Source organism: Homo sapiens, chromosome 8 (genome assembly GCF_000001405.40).
Source record: "Homo sapiens chromosome 8, GRCh38.p14 Primary Assembly".
Taxonomy (NCBI): Eukaryota; Metazoa; Chordata; class Mammalia; order Primates; family Hominidae; genus Homo; species Homo sapiens.
Window position 1 is genome coordinate 7,392,813 of NC_000008.11, and position 22,024 is coordinate 7,414,836.

Genomic DNA, 22,024 nt, shown 5'->3' on the forward strand with positions numbered 1-22,024 from the left:
CATCAGACAAATGGCCCTCTGAGAGAAAAGTATACCCAGGAGCTCTTATGCAAATTTGGACACAAGAAACCCCAGAACATCCCCTCGTTCTGCTCATATGACCAGGGCTTCTTTCTGTCTTGTATCATTTGGGACCTGGGATGTGAATGGAGTGAGGGGCAAGGTCTTTCTTACAGGGGAACAGACTCAGGGTCTGTGAACTGGAGATCACCTGCCTGCTCTGTGGGATGTCCTGTTTTTCCTGAATGTCTAGGGACAGTCTCAGGCCAAACTGGGAGCCGGTTCCATCTAGTTCTATCCATTGCTGGGACATTCAGCTCCTGGGGATGATACAGGGCTGGCTCAAACCCAGGGACCTGGGAGGGGCTCACGGCTTCTGGCAGCTCCAGGAGCATGGTGGGCCCCGTCCTCACAGATCTGAGCTGGTGAAATTCATGTGAAAGGTGCCCTGAAATTCTCCGTCATCACCATGGGACAGAGATGAGGCAGATGGGTGCCCACTTCCTTCCTCTGAGAAGGAGAATGGGAGGGTGGGATTGTGACTACATGTGTCCCCTCAGAGTCCACCCAGGCCCAGGCCAGGAGGTGGCCTACCACCCACACTTGAGTTCCCTCCATTCACACCGACACTCAGGGAATGTCAGCTCCACAGGACTTCAGGGCTTTGGGAGCCAGGGCTTTCCCTGCTTTCCACAGACGTCAGTGCTAAGTGAGCTCAATACCGTTGGGATTTGGTAGAGAAGCACGGAGTGGGGGTGCAAGGCCTCCACGTGGTGTCTTTCACGTGCATCCGTGTGAAGAGACCACCAAACAGGCTTTATGTGAGCAATAAAGCTTTTTAATCACCTGGGTGCAGGTGGGCTGAGTCAGCGTAGGGAGATAGGGGTGGGGCCGTTTTACAGGATTTGAGTAGGTAATGGAAAATTACAGTCAAAGGGGGTTGTTCTCTGGCTGGCAGGGGTGGAGGTCACAAGTTGCTCAGTGAGGGAGCTTTTGAGCCAGGATGAGCCAGGCCAAGGAATTTCACAAGGTAATGTCATCAGTTAAGGCATGAACAGTCCATTTTCACTTCTTTTGTGATTCTTCAGTTACTTCAGGCCATCTGGATGTATACGTGCAGGTCACAGGGGATATGATGGCTTAGCTTGGGCTCAGAGGTCTGACAGTCTCCCTATTGGTGATGGGACCCACTTCTGCAGAAGCCCTGTGTTTTCAGAGCTGTGCAAGGTCTCTGGGGACCCTCAGGACCCTGTCCTTCCTCCATAACCCAGAGTAGCAATCGGTGGCCACAGGCAATGGACAGAGCCCCTGGTGTCAGATGCTCAGGGGTGGGGCTTTTCAAGGGAAAATAAGTGGCATTCATCCTGGTTCCTCCCTCTTTGGATCCAAGGGAAGCTTGAGAGACAAGCAGGCCCCAGTGTCAGGTGTAGCGATGACACCAAGGTGTAGCGGTGACAGCCATGGGGACAATGAGCCTTGAGCCATGGTCTACATTTTAAATGTCACACTTTAAGAATTCACAGTTTGAGGCAGGCCAGGGGTGTTTTTAAAGAAAGCTGCAATGGATTCTATGAACAAGATCTTTAATGTCTTTCTTATCATGAAAGGAAGTTTCCGATGGGGTAGGCAAAGAGAGGGCTGGGTTGGGTGCCCTCACAACTGCTAAAGGAATCTGAATCCAGGGCTACAGCTGACTCAGCAGGGAGTCACTCCCTTTGTCAGAACTTTGTTTTCCTCTGTGCTGAGCAGGCTGGAATTGAGGGGCAGACTCATTCATTTCCTGACACTAAAACTATTCCTGGCCAAGGAAGCCAAATAGAAAAACTGAATGAAAAAAAAAAAAAAGCACATATGTGCTCTGTCTAAATTAATAAATAATTTAAAAAATATACTTTCTATGTCGCTGTCACCTTTTGAAAGTAGCAGGAAAATGTCATGACACTTCACCCTAATTATCTCAGCATGTATCTCTTATAAATAAGAAAAAAATTCCCGCATCAATCACACTACCATTTATGCACATTAACAAGAAAATTTCCCTGGCCTGAACACTGGGACAGCAGCTGTAGGTGCTCAGGAAGCAAAGTGTCAGTAAATTATTGCAAAACAGAAGTCAGTGCATAGACATTGAAATTGTTCCAAGAATAGCTTCGTGGCTGTTGAGTTTTCTGGGTACATGTTCAATCCAGATTCACACATCGAATTAGGTTGTCACGCCTCTTTCCTTGTTGAGTAAACATTCTTAAGGAAATGCCATGGTATGTGGCAAGGGGCCTTACTGGAGTTATTACGTAACTCTTATATGTAAATAAGAGTTTGAGTTAAGAGAGTGGTTCCCATCTTTTTCATGTGTGGCATCACTCCTGATTGATACGTCCTTAATGACTGCTGTACTTAACATGATTATTATAAAAGTAATACACTTGCATTTAAAAACTCACCCATAGAAGAGTGTGAATTTCTCCTATAATCCCGTTGCAATCCCAGGAACCACTGACAGCACTGTGGTTTTACACTTGTTGTCCTCTCTAGCTCTCAGTACATTTGTGAGGCCTTGTTAGAGAAGGAGGTGAAATTGCTCTGAAATAGGAAAGTCACTGTGAAATGCAGCACCTGTGTCCCTGGGGAAGAAGCCACCAAGGCTTAGGGACCATGGGCCTGGTTGCTCAAGGACAGCTGGGCTGACTGTTCCCATGAAGATTCCTATGGTTGCAGCTATTCTTTTTTCCTGGCACAGCCCGATGTGACTCCTTCAGAGCAGTGTTCATCCTGGTGATACAGTGTGTTTGATAAAGATCAAGGGAGGAGCACTTTTGTCTTAAAGGTAGGGTTATTATCTTGCTTCAGCAAGGAAGACTATCCACCAGCACAGATATGGGTTTTTTCCCAAACCACAGGCTGTTTTCTGTGGCAAAGTGGCTCAGTTCCCCAGGCAAGAGTGGGCATTCCTTTAGATAGGCTCCCAGAAAGCAAAGTCTCTCATATCTATAATTTTAGAAAGCAAAGTTTCTCTGCACTGTGTCCTCAATGATAAATAACAGAAGCAGTTTTACTGGCTCTCAATTCTGGAGCCAGGACCAGCTTCACGGGCTTGAGGGCTGGGCAGTGACACAGGGACCTGCCCTCAGAAGGGCCAGTGCCTGGTAGCAGGCTCTGCCGACACCCTCTTGACCTTAGTTTTTTTTCTTTGAACTTCATTTTGTAAGTGAAGCCCACTGAGACAATGGAGCAGGCACATGAGCAGAGTGGCTATGAGGGGGGACAAGGTGGGCAGGCTCAGGCCCAGGGACATGAAGGCCACATGTTGGAGCTTGCTGCCCTGAGCACGGGTGCTTTGGAGCGGCCCAGGCACATCTCGACTGGGAAGGAAGATGGCAACGGACCAGGATGGGAGGTGGCAGCCGCAGCAGCAGGTGTCCTCAGCCCTGGGGTGAAAGGAGGGTCTCTGTGTGGACGCAGCACTGACACCTCTGTGCCTGTGCATTCTCAGAGTCATCCTTGGAGCTTCTGCACGAATATCTACCCCCTGACCTGAGCACCAGGACAGGAATCATAGGGCTCAGATAGCAAATTGGGAGGAGAGAAGCACAAAACAAAAGTGTGCCCATGGACATTGTGAAAGAGTATGCCAGGGAGTTCTTGGAATTCCTCAGAGAGTTTAGAGTTCTTCAAGGAGTTATCCAAGGCTCAGAAATATAAATTAAATATATAATGATAGTCACAAAACTTCTGATGGGACAGGCATGGTGGGTCACACCTGTTATCCCAGCACATTGTGAAGCTCTGGTTAGAGGACTGTTTGAAGCCAGTTGTTGGAGACCACCATAGGCAGTATAGTGGGCAGTATAGTTAGACCCCAACATTAAAAAAAAAAAAAAAAGATTAGCTGAGCACAGTGGCACATGCCCGTAGTCTTAGCTACTTGGGAGGCTGAGGTAGGAAGATCATACGAGTTCAGGAGTCTGAGGCTGCAGTGAGCCATGATCATGTCAACAGATGGAGACCCTACCTCAAAAAGAAAAGAAAAGAAAAGAAAATAACACTTCTGATCAATCAATTATTAACAAGTAGAGCAATTTTAAAAATTCAGTTCTTCTTGTTAAAGATACAACAATAGAATTCAAAAACAGGAGTTTTGAGTAAGTTACAAATCATGACGCCACATTTGGTCTGCTGTGGGCCTCTGCAACTTACAGAACATGTCAGAAGATGCATCAAAATTCCATTGGAGAAATTTACACTTAAAATTAAATTCAAACTTCCATAAAACTGATTTGCTTAAACAGTTATATGCTTTGAAAAAAATAGCTCCACAAGAACCACCAGCTACAGATATACTAAAATTTGTGTCAAAATAGTTTATCCCAATATTGTCAGAGTTTAGATAATATTCCAGAAACAGTTGCTTCAGCAGATTCTTTTCAGAAGAAAAAATGAAGTTGCTCAAGGTATAAAGTTTGATGACCTAATAAATTAATTGCAGAAAAGTTGGCCAGAAAAATTGTTTGATTCATCTAGATCCAATTAATAAAGTATTATTATTTATTCTATTAAAACTGTGACACTGGTTTCTGGTGGGGATTTATATGATTCTGTTCTTACTCTTCTAGAAGTATTATCCCTATTACACTTTTCAAATGATGAAACATACTGGCTTGAGAAAGCTGAATACCCTCCTGCCTTTCACGACACTTTCTTCTGCTGCTCTTTGAACAAGGCGCCCTGCATTTCCACTTTGCACTGAGCCTTGGGAATTTTGCAGCCGGCCTTGCCGTGGCCATTTTTATACAAGTTATCTCATTTAATCCTCAGAAGCAAACATGCCAGGGGGTTATTACCCAAGTTTACAGAGGCAGGTCCTGGGGCCTAGAAAGGTTAGAGGACATGTTCAATGTCATCTGACTACTAAGTGGCAGAGATGGAATTTGAAATAAAATCCCTCTCTCTTCAAAGCCCATGTTCCTAACCAGCACCACACAATCACCATGGTGTCCTGATAACCTCCCCCTCTTCATCCTCCTACAACCCCAAAGCTACAGTAACGCTCTGCGTAAGGCCAGAGTCCACGCGGCTACTGTCACCCTCTCCCATCTCCTGAGCTGAGCGGTGAGTCCACAGCCTGGCCCGGCCTTGCAGGAGGTGAGGGAATGAGCGCGCAGTTACTGCCACCTCGTGGCGGCCTGACTACATGACCCTGAAACGCAGACCTAATCTGTTTCCTGCCTGCCTGAAGCCTGGGTGTGCACCTGAGACTTCTAGTAATTTCCTTTTTCCCCTTAAGGAACCTATCGAGAGTTCTCACAATTTTATGCATTCTCTCAAGCAAGTAGCTTTCGTTTATTTATTTTTAATATTCTCTTTTGTGTCCACATTCTTTTTTATTCACTCGTTTTCCTATTTACTTTCAGCTTAATTAGTTCTTTTTTCCCCAGGTTTTTTACAATGGAATATTAGATTGTCTATTTCTGAGCTTTCGACTTCGCATCATAATAGCAGTTAATGTTATCAATTTCCCTCCAAGCACTGCTTTTGTTGTATTGCCACAAATTTTGGTATGTTATGTTTCCATTTGCTGTCATGTGAAAATATTTTTAAATTTCTCCTTTGACTCATTAGAAATATGTTGAGTAATGTCCAAATATGTGAGGAATTTTCCAGCTATTTTCCTTTAGTCACAGCTTCATACATTCCACTGTGGATAGACATTACGCTACATATGATTTTAAATTGTTTTGATTTTTTTGTTTCTTAGTCCAATATGAGCTCTCTTAGGTAATATTTCAATGCATTTTACTGTTATTGGGAGGAGTGTCCTGTAAAGCTTATATAGGTCATAATGGATGATACTGTTGTTCAAGTTCTCTCTATCTTTATTTATACTTTGCTGCTAAAAAAACTATTTCAAAGAAAAAAGTGTTGAAATATTCAATGGTAATTCTTAATTTTTCAATTTCTTCTCTTAGTTCTATCAATTTCTTTTTAAAAATTTTGAGATTCTCTTATTAGGTGCATACTAATTTAATAATAATGATATGTGTTCTTGGTGATTTAACAACTTTATCACTGGAAAACATAGGCTCTTTATCAGTAATAATACACCTTGCTGTAAAATCTACTTTGATTTATAGTCAGTTAGCCGATACAGCTAATTCTGTTTTCATTAGATTAATGTTTCCATACTATAACTCTTTCTGTCCCTTTACTATCAACCTATCTTTGTCCTTATATTTGATAAAGACATTGGGTTTTTATAGACAGCGTGTATTTGGGTCTTGTTTTATACTACAAGTTTGCTAGTGAGGAATTCTCTTAGTTTTTGTTATTGTCATTAGAAAATGCCTTTACGCGGTGGGTCACGCCTGTAATCCCAGCACTTTGGGAGGCCGAGGTGGGCGGATCTCGAGGTCAGGAGATCCAGACCATCCTGGCTAATACGGTGAAATCCTATCTCTACTACAAATACAAAAAAATTAACCGGGCATGGTGGCGGGCGCCTGTAGTCCCAGCTACTGGGGAGGCTGAGGCAGGAGAATGGCGTGAACCCGGGAGGCGGAGCTTGCAGTGAGCCGAGATCGCACCATCGCACTCCAGTCTGCGTGACAGCGAGACTCCGTCTCAAAAAAAAAAAAAAAAAAGGAAAAGAAAATGCCTTTACTTATTACTGGAATATGTGTTTAGCATTAATCTAGAAATGTATTTTTGCTTGTCAGGGTCCTATGTTGACTTATTTTTCTTCTTTTGGTACTTAAATATGTCACTTTATTTTTTCTACTTCTGTAAGCAGTGTCTTCTCTCAGCATGCTTTTAAGATTTTCTCATTATTTTTGATTCAAAACAATTTGATTATTGATATGGTTTGGCTCTGTGTCCCTACTCAAATCTCATCTGGAATTATAATCCCATAATCCCCAGTGTTGGGGGGCAGGACCTGGTGGGAGGTGATTGGATCATGGGGAGGTGAATTCTGCCTTGCTGTTCTCATGATAGTGAGTGAATTCTCAAGAGATGTGATGGTTTTATAAATGGCAGTTTCCTTCTGTGCTTACTCTTGTGCTCTGTCTCTCTTCCTCTCTCTCTCTCCCTCTCTCTTTCGTCTGACACTGTGGAAGACTTGCTTGCTTCTGCTTCACCTTCCATCACGATTGTGAGATTCCTGAGGCCTCCTAGCCATGCTTTCTGTTAATCCAGCATAACTGGGAGTCAAAGAAACCTCTTTTATTTATAATTATCCAGTCTCAGGTAGTTCTTTATAGCAGTGTGAAAATGAACTTGTATAATTATGATATTCTTGTTCTTTTTTTTTTAAATAATTATTCTTCTTGGATGTCTTTCAATACCAAATTTGTATGTTTCCAGTCTCACCAAATTTATAAAAATAGGCTATTATTTCACTAACTTTATGCTTTCTCCTGGAATTTCTTTCTGCCTTCAAACACACATAGGTGCTAGATTGCTTGATATTTCTGTGAAGTGCACTGTTTATTTTTCATCCAGAGTTTTTTTCTCCCTTTGCTTCATTTTCTCATTTGTTTGTGTTAATGTAGACTCAGGCTTACTGATCCTTTCTTCTATACTGTCATGTGTCATTAATCCAATTCAGAAATTTTTTTGTTCTCATCATTTTGTTTTACTGCTGGAAGGCCCATTTGGTTCTTTTTATGTGTTCCTCCTCATCAAAAAGGTTTTCTCTTCAGCCTTTGACATATTTATAACTTTTATAATAGCTCCTTTACATTCCCTTTTCTGATCCTAGTACCTTTGTCATTATTGGGTCTGTTTTTACTGAATGACTTTTCTCCTAGTTATGGGCTATATTTTCCTACTTCTTTTCATGCTTGGAAATTTTTTATTGGATTCAGTATATTATAAAGCCTTTTTTTTTTTTAATTTGGAAACAGGGTCTTGCTCTGTTGCCCAGGCTGGAATGCAGTGGTGCAATCTCAGATCACTGCAACCTCTGCCTCCCTGGTTTAAGCAATTCTCTTGCCTCAGCCTCCTGAGTACCTGGGACTACAGGCCTGTGCCACCACGCCCAGATAATTTTTCTATTTTTAGTAGGCATAGGTTGGCCTGGCTGGTCTCGAGCTCATGCCCTCAAGTGATTCACCTGTCTTGGCTTCCGAAAGTGCTGAGATTACAGTCATGAACCGCCAGGCCTGGACAGCTTGAATTGTTGAGTAACAGTTTTGGTTGTTTTCCCCAAAGAATGCTAGACATCATCTGGTTCATTTTGGGGGTTCTATACATTCATTTGGTTTTTTCAAGAATGGCTTGAAAATTTCTTGAAGCAGTTGCAGAGCAGTTTAATCTAGAGCTAACTAGCACCACTACTTGCTGATGGCTTTCTGAGGTTCTGAGTTCTCTCCACTTTGCTGTGGGGATACAAAGTTTTCAAGACTTGTCTGTCCTCCTGAAAATGCCGTTCACTCCCTTATGGAGTTTTTACTTTTTTCTGGCCTGGGGAAGTCTTAGCCCAAGTGTGCACACATCATAACATAGCCTAAGAGTGAAGGCATTCTTCTCTTCTCCAACACTCAAGATCAATGCTTCCTTTCAGTAGCCCACTCTCTGATATGTGCACTGGAAATTGGGGTCTGATACAGGTTGGATGTTTGTACTCTCCAAATACTATGTTGAAATGTAATTCCCAGTCTTGGAGGTGGGACCTGGCAGGAGGTGTTGGGGTCATTGGGGTGGATCCCTCATGAATGGCTTGGTGCTGTCCTGGAGATAATCTGTGAGCTCCTTCTTTGAGTCATGGGAGATCTGGTTGTTTCACACAGTGTGGCACCTCCCCAACTCTGGCTCCTTCTCCTGGCTTGTGATACTCCTGCTCCCCCTTCCCCTTCCTACACAAAAGGAAGCCTTCTGAGGCCTCAAAAGGAGCAGATGATGTCACCATGCTACTCATACAGCCTACAGAATAGGGAGCCAAAATAAACTTCTTTTCCTTATGAATTACCCAGCATTAGGTATTCCTTTATAGGAGTAAAAACAAACTGACACAGAAAATTGATACTGTGCAGGGGGCATTGCTGTAAAGACAGCTGAAAATATGGAAGTGGCTTTGTCACTGGGTACTGGCAGAGGTTGAAAGAGTTTGTAGGGCCCAGCAAAAGATAGGAAGATGAGGGAAAGTTTGGAACTCTTTAGAAACTTGTTAAATGTACGTGACCAAAATGCTCACAGAGATATGGACAGTGGAGTCCACACTATCAAGTTGTTAGATGGAAAAGTGGAAGTTACTGGGAATTAGAGCAAGGGTCCCCATTGTTACACCCCAGTCAAGAGCTTGGCTGCATTGTGTTCACGTCCTAGGGATTTGTGGAAAGTTGAACTTTAGAGTGATTAGCTAGAGCATCTGGTCTAAGTAATTTCCAAGGAGCAAAGTATTCAAGATATGTAGCTGCTTCTACAAGCTTGCAATCAGATACAGGAGCAAAGAAATGCTTTCAATTTGGAACTTAAAGGAGAAGCTGTCAGGCGTCTCAGCCCAAGCCAAGCCATCGCATCCCCTGTGACTTGCATGTATACGCCCAGATGGCCTGAAGTAACTGAAGAATCACAAAAGAAGTGAATATGCCCTGCCCCACCTTAACAGATGACATTCCACCACAAAAGAAGTGTAAATGGCCGGTCCTTGCCTTAAGTGACGACATTACCTTGTGAAAGTCCTTTTCCTGGCTCATCCTGTCTCAAAAAGCACCCCCACTGAGCACCTTGCAACCCCTACTCCTGCCCGCCAGAGAACAAACCCCTTTTGACTGTATTTTTCCTTTACCTACCCAAATCCTATAAAACAGCCCCACACTTTTCTCCCTTCACTGACTCCCTTTTTGGATTCAGCCCACCTGCACTCAGGTGAAATAAACAGCCATGTTGCTCACACAAAGCCTGTTTGGTGGTCTCTTCACACGGACGCACATGAAATTTGGTGCCGTGACTTGGATCGGGGGACCTCCCTTGGGAGATCAATCCCCTGTACTCCTGTTTTTTGCTCCGTGAGAAGATCCACCTATGACCTCAGGTCATCAGACCGACCAGCCCAAGGAACATCTCACCAATTTTAAATCAGGTAAGCGGCCTCTTCTTACTCTCTTCTGCAACCTCTCTCACTGTCCCTCAACCACTTTCTCCTTTCCACTCTTCAATCTCTCCCTTCTCTTAATTTCAATTCCTTTCATTTTCTGGAAGAGACAAAGGAGACACGTTTTTTCCATGGACCCAAAACTCCGGCACTGGTCACGGACTGGGAAGGCAGCCTTCCCTTGGTGTTTAATCATTGCAGGGATGCCTCTCTGATTATACACCCACGTTTCAAGGGTGTCTGACCATGCAGGAACACCTGCCTTGGTCATTCACCCTTAGCGGCAATTCCCGCTTTTCTGGGGAAGGGGCAAGTACCTCAACTCCTTCTCGCCTTGTCTCTACCCCTTCTCTGCTTTTCTGGGAGAGGGGCAAGTACCCTTCAACCCCTTCTCCTTCACCCTTAGCGGCAAGTCCCGCTTTTCTATGGGGCAAGAACACCCAATCCCTTATTTCCACGCCCCAGCCTCTTATCTCTGCACCCCAATCCCTTATTTCCATGCCCCAACCTCTTATCTCTACACCCCAATCCCTTATTTCCATGCCCCAACCTCTTATCTCTACACCCCAATCCCTTATTTCTGCACTCCGACCTCTTATCTCTGTGCCCCAATCCCTTATTTCAGTGCCTCAACCTCATATCTCTGCACCCCAATCCCTTATTTCCATGCCCTGACCTCTTATCTCTGTGCCCCAACCCCTTTTCCCACTTTTCTGGAAGGTAAGAACCCCCAAACCCCTTCCTTCCATTTCTCTACTCTCTCTTTTCTCTAGGCTTGCTTCCTTCACTATGGGCAACCTTCCATGCTCCATTCTTCCTTCTACTCCCTTGGCCTGTGTTCTCAAAAACTTAAAACCTCTTCAAGTCACACCTGACCTAAAACCTAAATGCCTTATGTTCTTCTGCAATGCCACTTGACCCCAATACAAACTCGACAGTAGTTCCAAATAGCCAGAAAATGGCACTTTGAATTTTTCCATCCTACAAGATCTAAATAATTCTTGTTGTAAAACAGGCAAATGGTCTCAGGTGCCTGACGTCCAGGCATTCTTTTACACATCAGTCCCTTCCTAGTCTCTGTGCCCAGTGCAACTCATCCCAAATCTTCCTTCTTTCCCTCCCGCCTGTCCCCTCAGTACCAACCCCAAGTGTCGCTGAGTCTTTCTAATCTTCCTTTTCTACAGACCAATCTGACATCTCCCTTCCTCCCCAGGCTGCTCCTCACCAGGCCAAGCTACGTCCCAATTCTTCCTCAGCCTCTGCTCCTCTACCCTATAATCTTTTTATCACCTCCCCTCCTCACACCTGGTCCGGCTTACAGTTTCCTTCCGTGACTAGCCCTCCTCCACCTGCCCAGCAATTTACTCTTAAAAAGGTGGCCGGAGCCAAAGATATAGTCAAGGTTAATGCTCCTTTTTCTTTATCCCAAATCAGAAGTGTTTAGGCTCCTTTTCATCAAATATAAAAACCCAGCCCAGTTCATGGCTCATTTGGCAGCAACCCTGAGACACTTTACAGCCCTAGACCCTAAAAGGTCAAAAGGCCGTCTTATTCTCAATATACATTTTATTACCCAATCTGCTCCCAACATTAAATAAAACTCCAAAAATTGGAATCTGGCCCTCAAACCCCACAACAGGACTTAATTAACCTCACCTTCAAGGCGTACAATAACAGAAAAAAGTTGCAATTCTTTGCCTCCACTGTGAGACAAACCCCAGCCACATCTCCAGCACACAAGAACTTCCAAATGCCTGAACCACAGCAGCCAGGCAGTCCTCCAGAACCTCCTCCCCCAGGAGCTTGCTACATATGCAAAATCTGGCCACTGGGCCAAGGAATGCCCACAGCCTGGGATTCCTCCTAAGCCGCGTCCCATCTGTGTGGGACCCCACTGAAAACCGGACTGTTCAACTCACCTGGCAGCCATTCCCACAGCCCCTGGAACTCTGGCCCAAGGCTCTCTGACTGACTCCTTCAGAGATCTTCTCCGCTTAGTGGCTGAAGACTGACACTGCCCGATCGCCTCAGAAGCCCCCTAGACCATCACGGACGCTGAACTTCGAGTAACTCTCACAGTGGCGGGTAATTCCGTCCCCTTCTTAATCATTACGGTGGCTACCCACTCCACATTACCTTCTTTTCAAGGGCCTGTTTCCCTTGATTCCATAACTGTTGTGGGTATTGATGGCCAGGCTTCTAAACCTCTTAAAACTCCCCAACTCTGGTGCCAACTTAGACAATACTCTTTTAAGCACTCCTTTTTAGTTGTCCCCACCTGCCCAGTTCCCTTATTAGGCCGAGACAATTTAACTAAATTATCTGCTTCCCTGACTATTCCTGGACTACAGCTATATCTCATTGCCACCCTTCTTCCCAATCCAAAGTCTCCTTTGCGTCCTCTTGTATCCCCCGACCTTAACCCACAAGTATAAGATACCTCTACTCCCTCCTTGGTGACCGATCATGCACCCCTTACCATCTCATTAAAACCTAATCACCCTTACCCCACTCAACACCAATATCCCATCCCGCAGCATGCTTTAAAAAGATTAAAGCCTGTTATCACTCGTCTGCTACAGCATGGCCTTTTAAATCCTATAAACTCTCCTTACAATTCCCCCATTTTACCTGTCCTAAAACCAGACAAGCCTTACAAGTTAGTTCATGATCTGCACCTTATCAACCAAATTGTTTTGCCTATCCCCCCTGTGGTGTCCAACCCGTACACTCTTTTGTCCTCAATACCTTCCTCCACAACTCACTATTCTGTGCTTGATCTTAAAGATGCTTTTTCACTATTCCCCTGCACCCCTTGTCCCAGCCTCTCTTCGCTTCCACTTAGACTGACCCTGACACCCATCAGGCTCAGCAAATTACCTAGGCTGTACTGCCGCAAGGCTTCATAGACAGCCCCTATTACTTCAGTCAAGCCCAAATGTCATCCTCATCTGTTACCTATCTCAGCATAGTTCTCATGAAAACATATGTGCTTTCCCTGCTGATCATGTCCGATTAATCTCCCAAACCACAATCCCTTACAAAACAACTCCTTTCCTTCCTAGGCATAGTTAGTGCAGTCAGAATTCTTACACAAGAGCCAGGACAGCACCCTGTAGCCTTTCTGTGCAAACAACTTGACCTTACTGTTTTAGCCTAGCCCTCATGTCTGCGTGCAGTGGCTGCCGCTGCTTTAATACTTTTAGAGGCCCTCAAAATCACAAACTATGCTCAACTCCCTCTCTACAGTTCTCATAACTTCCAAAATCTATTTTCTTCCTCATACTTGACTTATATACTTTCTGCTCCCCGGCTCCTTCAGCTGTACTCACTCTTTAAGTCCCACAATTACCATTGTTCCTGGCCCGGACTTCAATCTGGCCTCCCACATTATTCCTGATACCACACCTGACCCCCATGACTGTATCTCTCTGATCCACCTGATATTCACCCCATTTCCCCATATTTGCTTCTTTCCTGTTCCTCACCCTGATCACGCTTGATTTATTGATGGCAGTTCCACCAGGCCTAATTGCCACACACCAGCAAAAGCAGGTTATACTATAGTACAAGCCACTAGCCCGCCTCTTAGAACCTCTTATTTCCTTTCCATCGTGGAAATCTATCCTCAAGGAAGGAAATAACTTCTCAGTGTTCCATCTGCTATTCTACTACTCCTCAGGGATTATTCAGGCCCCCTCCCTTCCCTACACATCAAGTCAAGGATTTGCCCCACCCAGGACTGGCAAGTTAGCTTTACTCAACATGCCCTGAGTCAGATAACTAAAATACCTCTTAGTCTAGGTAGATACTTTCACTGGATAGGTAGAGGCCTTTCCTACGGGGTCTGAGAAGGCCACCGCAGTCATTTCTTTGGTTCTGTCAGACATAATTTCTCAGTTTAGCCTTCCCACCTCCATACAGTCTGATAACACATGAGCCTTTATTAGTCAAATCAGCCAAGCAGTTTTTCAGGCTCTTAGTATTCAGTGAAACCTTTATATTCCTTACAGTCCTCCATCTTCAAGAAAAGGAGAATGGACTAAAGGTCTTTTAAAAACACACCTCACCAAGCTCAGCCACCAAAAAGGACTGGACAATACTTTTAGCACTCTCCCATCTCAGAATTCAGGCCTGTCCTCGGAATGCTACAGGGTACAGCCCATTTAAGCTCCTGTATAGACGCTCCTTTTTATTAGGCCCCAGTCTCATTCCAGACACCAGACCAACTTAAACTGTGCCCCAAAAAACTTGTCATCCCTACTATCTTCTGTCTAGTCATACTCCTATTCACTGTTCTCAACTACTCATACATGCCCTGCTCTTGTTTACACGGCCGTTTTACACAGTTTTTCCAAGCCATCACAGCTGATATCTCCTGGTGCTATCCCCAAACTGCCGCTCTTAACTCTTGAAGTAAATAAATAATCTTTGCTGGCAGGACTATGATGAGTCTCCTTAGGCACTCTCTAATCAGATATCCTGAGTCGTCCCAATTCTTAGACCTTTTATACCTGTTTTTCTCCTTCTGTTATTCCATTTAGTTTCTCAATTCATCCAAAAGCGTATCCAGGCCATCACCAATCATTCTATATGACAAATGTTTCTTCTAACATCCCCACAATATCACCCCTTACCACAAGACTTCCCTTCAGCTTAATCTCTCCCACTCTAGATTCCCACGCCACCCCTAATCCCGCTTGAAGCAGCCCTGAGAAACATCGCCCATTCTCTCTCCATACCACCCCCCAAAAATTTTCACCACCCCAACACTTCAACACTATTTTGTTTTATTTTTCTTATTAATATAAGAAGGCAGGAATATCAGGCCTCTTAGCCCAAGCCAAGCCATCGCATCCCCTGTGACTTCCACGTATATACGCCCAGATGGCCTGAAGTAACTGAAGAATCACAAAAGAAGTGAATATGCCCTGCCCCAATTTAACAGATGACATTCCACCACAAAAGAAGTGTGAATGGCCGGTCTTTGCCTTAAGTGATGACATTACCTTGTGAAAGTCCTTTTCCTGGCTCATCCTGGCTCAAAAAGCAACCCCACTGAGCACCTTGCGACCCCCACTCCTGCCCACCAGAGAACAAAACCCCTTTGACTGTAATTTTCCTTTACCTACCCAAATCCTATAAAACGGCCCCATCCTTATCTCCCTTTGCTGACTCTCTTTTCAGACTCAGCCCGCCTGCACCCAGGTGAAATAAACAGCCATGTTGCTCACACAAAGCCTGTTTGGTGGTCTCTTCACACGGACGCGCATGAAAGAAGCAAAGCATAAAAATTTGGAAAATTTGCAGCCTAGAAATTTAGTAGAGAAAGAAAAAGCATTTTCAGAAGAGGACTGTAAGGGGCTGTGGAGAAACCACTTGCTAGAGAGATGTGCATGACTGAGAAGGAGCCAAGTGCTAATAGCCAAGACAATGGGGAAAAGGCTTACAAGGCATTTTTGAAAACTTTGAGGCATTCCCTCCCACCACAGCCCACAGGCCTAGGAGGAAAGAATGGTTTCAGTGGCCAGACCCAGGCACAGCTGCCCTGCTCAGCTTCAAGACACATCCTGGCTGCCCAGCCTCCAGCCTCAGCTCAAAGGGCCTAATGTACAGATTGGCCACTGCTTCAGTGGGTGAAAGCCAGAACGTCTTGGCAGCGTTCATGTGGTGCTAAGCCTGCAAGTCTGCAGAGTGCAAAAAGGAAGGAGGCTTGGCAGCTTCCACCGAGATTTCAGAGGATGTGTGGCAAAGTCTGGTTCTCCAGGCAGAAAACTGCTGCCGAGGGAGAGTACCAAGAGAAAAACTCTACCAGGGCAGTGCTAAGGGGAAACGTGGGGTTGGATTCCCCACACAGTGTCCCCAGTGGGGCATTGCCTAGTGGAGCTGAGGGAAGGGGAACACTGCCCTCCAGACCTGAGAATAGTAACACTGTTGACAGCTTGTACCCTCAGCATGGAAGAGCCACGGGCATCAGATTCTGACCTGTGACAGGAGCCATGTGGGCTGCACCCTGTAAAGCCACAGGGGCAGAGCAGCCCAAGGTCTTCAGAGCCCACCCTCACAGCAGAATAAAGGACATGGAATCAAGAATTATTTTCAAACTTTGAGGTTTAATAGCTGCCCTGCTGAGTTTCTGACATGTGTGGGGCCTGTAATCCCTTTTATTGGCCAATTTCTGCCTTTTAGAATGGTAGTGTCTAGCCAATGCCTGTGCCATCATTGTAACATGAAAGTACATAACTTGTTTTTGATAGTACAGGCTAAAAGGCGGAAGGAATTTGAGTCTCAGGGGATGAGATTTTGAACTTTGGACTTTTGATTAAGTTAATGCTGGAAGTAGTTAAAACTTTGGGGAGTGATTGGGAAGGGATGATTGCATTTTGCAATGTGAGAAGGACATGAGATTTGAGGGACCAGAGGAAGAATAATATTTTTCAGATGTTTGTCCCCTCGAAACCTCCTGCTGAAATCTAATCCTCAGTGTTGGAAGTGGAATCTGGTGGGAAGTGTTTGGGTTGTGGGGGTGAATCCCTAATGAATGACTAACTGCTTTCATCACAAAAATGAGTGAGTTCTTGCTCCGAGTTCATACAACATGTAGTTGTTTAAAAGAGTCTGGGACCTCCTTGCACCCTCTCGCTCCACTCTTACCACGTGATATTCCTGCTCCCACTTGACTTTCCACTATGACTGAAGGCTTATGGAGTCCTAACAAGGAGCGGATGCAGGCACCATGCTTCTCACACAGCCAAAAATAGTGAGCCAAATAACTTCCTTTCCTGAAGTATTATCCCACCTCAGGTATTCCTTTAGAGCAACACACACAGACTGACACAGGGCGTATCGTGCTGTGTGAGCTTTGACCTTGGTCTCCTCAATGCTACAGGGTGCTGGTCTTCATGTAAGTCTTCCTCCCTGTGCTGTGGCCTGTAACCTGGCCCTATAGAGAGCTAGGGGCAAAAGGACATCCTACTTTATTTGTTTGTTGCACTGCTTATTATCCAATATATGAACACAGCTGTCTCACACCTGCTGACTAGTTCCATCTTGTCTACTGTAGGAGGGCAATTCCCATAGCAGTGAGTCCGTTTGGATGGAAACTGAGGAACAGGCTCAACTTTTTCAGTTTTTGTCCCTTCTTCCTGAGAGCCTCATTGTCTTTTCATATAAGCCTTCAGAATTTGAGAAAGATATACATAAAATTCCGTAAAATGTTGGTAGGTTTTCATCTTTGTTCTCCATTACAGAAATGTAGCCTTAGCTTTTTTGTGTTACTAATTTTATGCTCAGTTTATAATTTGAAACCAGTAGGCCCTTCCTATTCGTGTGTTCCACATCAGGAAACGTTCTACAAAAACATTGTGTCTGAATTGAGCATGCACAGGCCTTTTTCTCTTGCCATTATTTTCTAGGAAATACAGCATAACTCCTACTTACTTAGCATTTACATTGTGTTCAGTGTTACAAGAAATCTAGGAATGATTTAAAGTATATGCAAGGAGTGTGAAGATTATATGAAATTACTACTCTTTTATATCAGGGACTTGAGCATCTGAGGCATTTGGTATACACAGGGGGTCCTGGAACCAATCCCCCATGGATACTGAGGAGCAATTGTATTTGTGTTCTGTTTCTAAGCAAATTGTCATAAGCTTAGTGACCTAAACCAACACAAATTATCTTGCTGTTTTGGGGATCAAACATGAAAAATCAAAGTGTCCTTAGGACCTTTTTCCTTTCCAGAGGTTCTAAGAAGCTGAGTTTGCTTTCCTTTTTTTTTTTTTTTCTTCTTTGCCTTTTCAAATCTGAGAGGCTGCCCATGTTCCTTGGTTTGTGGATCCTTCCTTCATCTTCAAATCCAGCAATGGCTGTTGAGTCGTTCCCACATCGCATCACCCAGACACTGACTGTTCTGCCTTTCTTTTCCACATTTAAGGATTCTTGGATTACGTTGGTCTCATTCACATGATCTAAGTTAATCTCCCGGTTTTAAAGTCAGCATATCAGCCAACTATTCTATCTGCTGTCTTAGTTCTTATTTGCCGTAAAGTGTAACATAATCCCAGGTTCTAGGGATAAGGACATGGACATCTTTGGGATGCCGTTATTACACCTACTACACCTAGTAAAATAAAATTCAGTGACGTAATAAATACTTTCACCAAGAAAAATATCTTTAAAGAAAAAATGTTTTCAGTGATTCATAGTGTTATTAGATGAATATAGGAGGCCAAGTTCAATTTGGCTTTCAGAAAAACCATGAAGAACTTTTTAGTGTATTTAATCCCAAATAGTATGAGATAGATAATGCCACAATAAACTGGATGTTGTTTATCTAAAACTCACATTTAACTGAGTGTCCTATACTTTTATTTGCTAAATCTGTCAACCCTAGTCATGTAGGATTAATACAAACAAATACATGTTTCTTCTAAGTTGCTCACATATGAGAGCAAAACAAAGAAAAGTACATTTAAGGTTCTATCACAGGTCTCTCAGAAAAAGTTTCCTGGATGTGTTATCATCCCCCAGATACCCTACAATTAGATCTTTTTGATGTTTCTTTAGTGTTTTTTTAATTATCTCTCTTTGATCAAGACCTTCACTGAAATGTATTCTTTTAAAAGCAAACACTCCTTCATTTTGGATTCATTAAGAGACAGATGTTAGCATGAAAAAGCCCATATCCCAAGAAGGCTGGGGCATCTGAAACATGTCTGACCCTTTTCATTTTTGAATAGACTCTCCTGTCTTATGTAAAAATATTAAATAATTGAATTCTGGTACTTGATACAATATGTGAAGTCAATATCACAATAGATGGGATTAATAGCAAAGTGACCAGAGCAGAGTAGAGGATCCAAGAATTAAAACACAGGTCAGTGGGCTGGGCACGGTGGCTCACGCCTGTAATCCCAACACTTTGAGAGGCCAAGGCAGGCGAATCACTTGAGACCAGGAGTTCAAGACCAGGCTGGCCAACATGGTGATATTCTATCTCTACCAAAAATACAAAAAAAAAAAAAAAATTTAACTGGATGTGGTAGAGGGCACCTGTAATCTCAGCTACTCAGAAGGCTGAGGCAGGAGAATTGCTTGAACCTGGGAAGCAGAGGTTGCAGTTGAGTCGAGATCACACCACTGTACTCCAGCCTGGGTGACAGAGCAAGGCTCTGTTTCAAAAAAAAAAAAAAAAAGTAAGAATACAAGTCAGTGGAAAATTTTCAGGTTGAAGTGCAGAGATATAAAATAATGAAAAATACAAAAAATTGCATAAATATATATGTGAAGGCACAGTAAAAGGATGCTTTGTATATGTGTGTCTGTGTGTTTGCATTGAGTATATATGCAATACACACATATTGCATATGTGTTTGTGTACATACGTATGGTTGGTGCAAAAGTAATTGCAGTTTTTGCCATTACCTTTAAAGGCAAAAACCACAATTACTTTTGGACCAATTCTCTATCTATCTAGACAATTCTATTTCCAGGAAGAGAAATGAGCGAGGGACAGCAGCAATAACTGAAGAACTAATGGCTGAAAATCTGCTCAAAGCAATGATATTATTCCACATATTCAAAAAGCTCTGAAAACACCAAGAGGATGTGTCAAAAGTAAACTCTACCTAGACTAGTCTCAGACAAACCCTGTTCTTTGGAGAGTTTCTTCATCTGCTTTAAATATAGTTGGAACAAGATCAGTTGCTAATTTTGTAGCCAGGTGAATTCAATAAAATGATGAATGAGCTTCAGTGTTTAAAATTAATACCTTTTTTTTTTTCTTATGAGTCTTCAGGCACGATGAAATGGGAACAATTTTATTCTGTTATGTCATGAGTTCACAGGTTCAGAGACTTAGAGTATGACTTGCAAGCTCACTTGGTTGGAATGGATTCTGTGAATTCTGTAAACTCCCGGAGTTATCCTATTTTTGACCATCCAAATTAAACAGCTCCAGCTCCCATTCCTCATTAGTGTAGACAGCCAAATGTTTCTCAGAACTCCCTACAGGTGCTTATGCTCCTAATATCTTGTGCAAATTCTTATTTCTGTCTTCTGTGTGACATTCTCTGGCCACCTCCACCTCACTCCTGCAACCAACTACCCATTTTCTTTGTAGCTTTGCATTAAGAATTACTGAGGCTTTCCCCCTTTTCCAAGAATTTTCAAATACACAGCAATTGATTGAGACACAGTTTTGCAAAAACATAAGGATAATGACGGGTGGTTAATGCACAGAACTGTTAAAAATAAGAATAGAAATCAGAGTGCATTCTAGCTAAAGAGTTCAGCCACTCTTGGCAATAACCTCTACAGGCTACTTTGTGCCCTGATGTTACAGGTATACCTGCTCCTTTTGGAACCCAGAACTCCTTTCATTGTTAATCTCTGAGGGCCAAGAAACCTTTAACATTTTATTTTTAGAATTGTAGAATGATTTAGCGCTTATGGATTGTATCTCTATTTCACAGATGCAGTCAGGTGTCCTATCTTCCAAGACCTAAACAGCCATTAAAGGGCCTTCTTAAATAAAAGGAGAGTTTCTTCCTAAGAGAGTTGTGCTGTTTCCCCTAGAACATAGGAATGAATGTCATTGTCATGGTGACTTTTACTTTTTGTGTGTGTGTGAAGCTTCACTTCTTTTATACAGTCAAATGATATATGCTTCCAGGAATCAAGAAATCCACTAATTTATTCAAAATAACAACGTATATACGATGAATATTAAATGACTAAATAAAGGCAGGGTCTGACTATCCTGGCATCAAGGTAGGTGAGTGCGACTGAGTTGGACAATCACAGGATTAGACCCTGTCTTGGTTTAAATTTTGGAGAGTTTGTTAATTATGGTGATTTTTTCATGAATATTATTTTTTAAAAATCTATCGCATTATAAGATCATCTATCTTAAGTACAGGATATCTTAGTGCTTACATTTTATACCTGAGGCCAGAGCCTCCCTCGCTTCGCCCTAGTCCTGGCTCTGTCATCACGTCTGGATAAAATCTATATCCAGATAAAAATGCTTTTACTCTAACAAGGTCTGGTTACTTTTTTCAATCTTGAGATTAGGAAAGACAATGGATTATTTTGGAACTAAGGTGCATTTTCCCAGACGTAGATGATATGCACATTCAGTGCAGAGCTAATGTGAAGAAATAGAGAGCTTCTTATGCGTCTAGGATACACCCACAGAGTTCATGATTTAAGGACCAAACCCTCCCAAGGAGAGAGAGCAGGGCCAGGGAGCTATCTTGATGCTCCCCCTTAGAGTCGATGAGTCTTTCTTCTTGAGGTTTGCTCCCCTCTGCTTGTGTCCCATGCCATATTGTCCTCATTTAATTGTGCCCTCAAAGAGACTTGTTTTTAACAGCATTTACTTGGATCCTATTATGTTTGTATGTAAGGAAACCCTTGTACAACTGCATTTTGCCATCCAATTAATGAAATAGTTTATGAATGGCCAGCACATAAATGAATAAGACAAAGTCCACACTAGTAGAAATCTCATAGCTAAATGGAGAATTAAAAATTCACGCACCTCTGTAGGAGGCATAATTGCATAAGAAACCTTAGCCAGAAGAAGGGAGTCCTTGTGAAGAACAGAGGACTGGGCATCCCCTCCCTTGGCAGATCCACTATGATTCCATGAGGGAACTGGTCTTTGAGTTGGGCTTGCTTTTTTTAGGGAAGATGTGGGGTAGGTGAGGGCATGCAAGGGGAGGATGCAGGAGGAGCAAAGCACACGTTTTAGGAAAATGCCGGGAATAAATGGGGAAGGTCAAGGAATCCAAAGAATACAGATGCCTGTGACCCTGGAAAGCACTCCAAGCCCCGCTGTGGCAGCCCTGACCCCTTCCTGGAGAGCAGAAAAAGGTGTTTCAAGGATATTAGAGATGGCCTGCCCAAACCAACATCACCCAATGACCA

General features: G+C 43.4%; 5 annotated features.

Moving 5' to 3' along the window:
• Positions 933-1,882: an enhancer, noted in NCBI's record as "H3K27ac-H3K4me1 hESC enhancer chr8:7251267-7252216 (GRCh37/hg19 assembly coordinates)". NCBI's record gives its function as "activates a minimal SCP1, AML or CMV promoter by ChIP-STARR-seq in primed H9 embryonic stem cells {active_cell/tissue: H9 hESC(primed)}" and the evidence as "EXISTENCE:reporter gene assay evidence [ECO:0000049][PMID:30033119]".
• Positions 2,796-3,372: an enhancer, noted in NCBI's record as "H3K27ac-H3K4me1 hESC enhancer chr8:7253130-7253706 (GRCh37/hg19 assembly coordinates)". NCBI's record gives its function as "activates a minimal SCP1, AML or CMV promoter by ChIP-STARR-seq in naive H9 embryonic stem cells {active_cell/tissue: H9 hESC(naive)}" and the evidence as "EXISTENCE:reporter gene assay evidence [ECO:0000049][PMID:30033119]".
• Positions 3,373-3,949: an enhancer, noted in NCBI's record as "H3K27ac-H3K4me1 hESC enhancer chr8:7253707-7254283 (GRCh37/hg19 assembly coordinates)". NCBI's record gives its function as "activates a minimal SCP1, AML or CMV promoter by ChIP-STARR-seq in naive H9 embryonic stem cells {active_cell/tissue: H9 hESC(naive)}" and the evidence as "EXISTENCE:reporter gene assay evidence [ECO:0000049][PMID:30033119]".
• Positions 9,337-9,914: an enhancer, noted in NCBI's record as "OCT4-NANOG hESC enhancer chr8:7259671-7260248 (GRCh37/hg19 assembly coordinates)". NCBI's record gives its function as "activates a minimal SCP1, AML or CMV promoter by ChIP-STARR-seq in naive and primed H9 embryonic stem cells {active_cell/tissue: H9 hESC(naive and primed)}" and the evidence as "EXISTENCE:reporter gene assay evidence [ECO:0000049][PMID:30033119]".
• Positions 14,318-15,263: an enhancer, noted in NCBI's record as "OCT4-NANOG-H3K27ac hESC enhancer chr8:7264652-7265597 (GRCh37/hg19 assembly coordinates)". NCBI's record gives its function as "activates a minimal SCP1, AML or CMV promoter by ChIP-STARR-seq in naive and primed H9 embryonic stem cells {active_cell/tissue: H9 hESC(naive and primed)}" and the evidence as "EXISTENCE:reporter gene assay evidence [ECO:0000049][PMID:30033119]".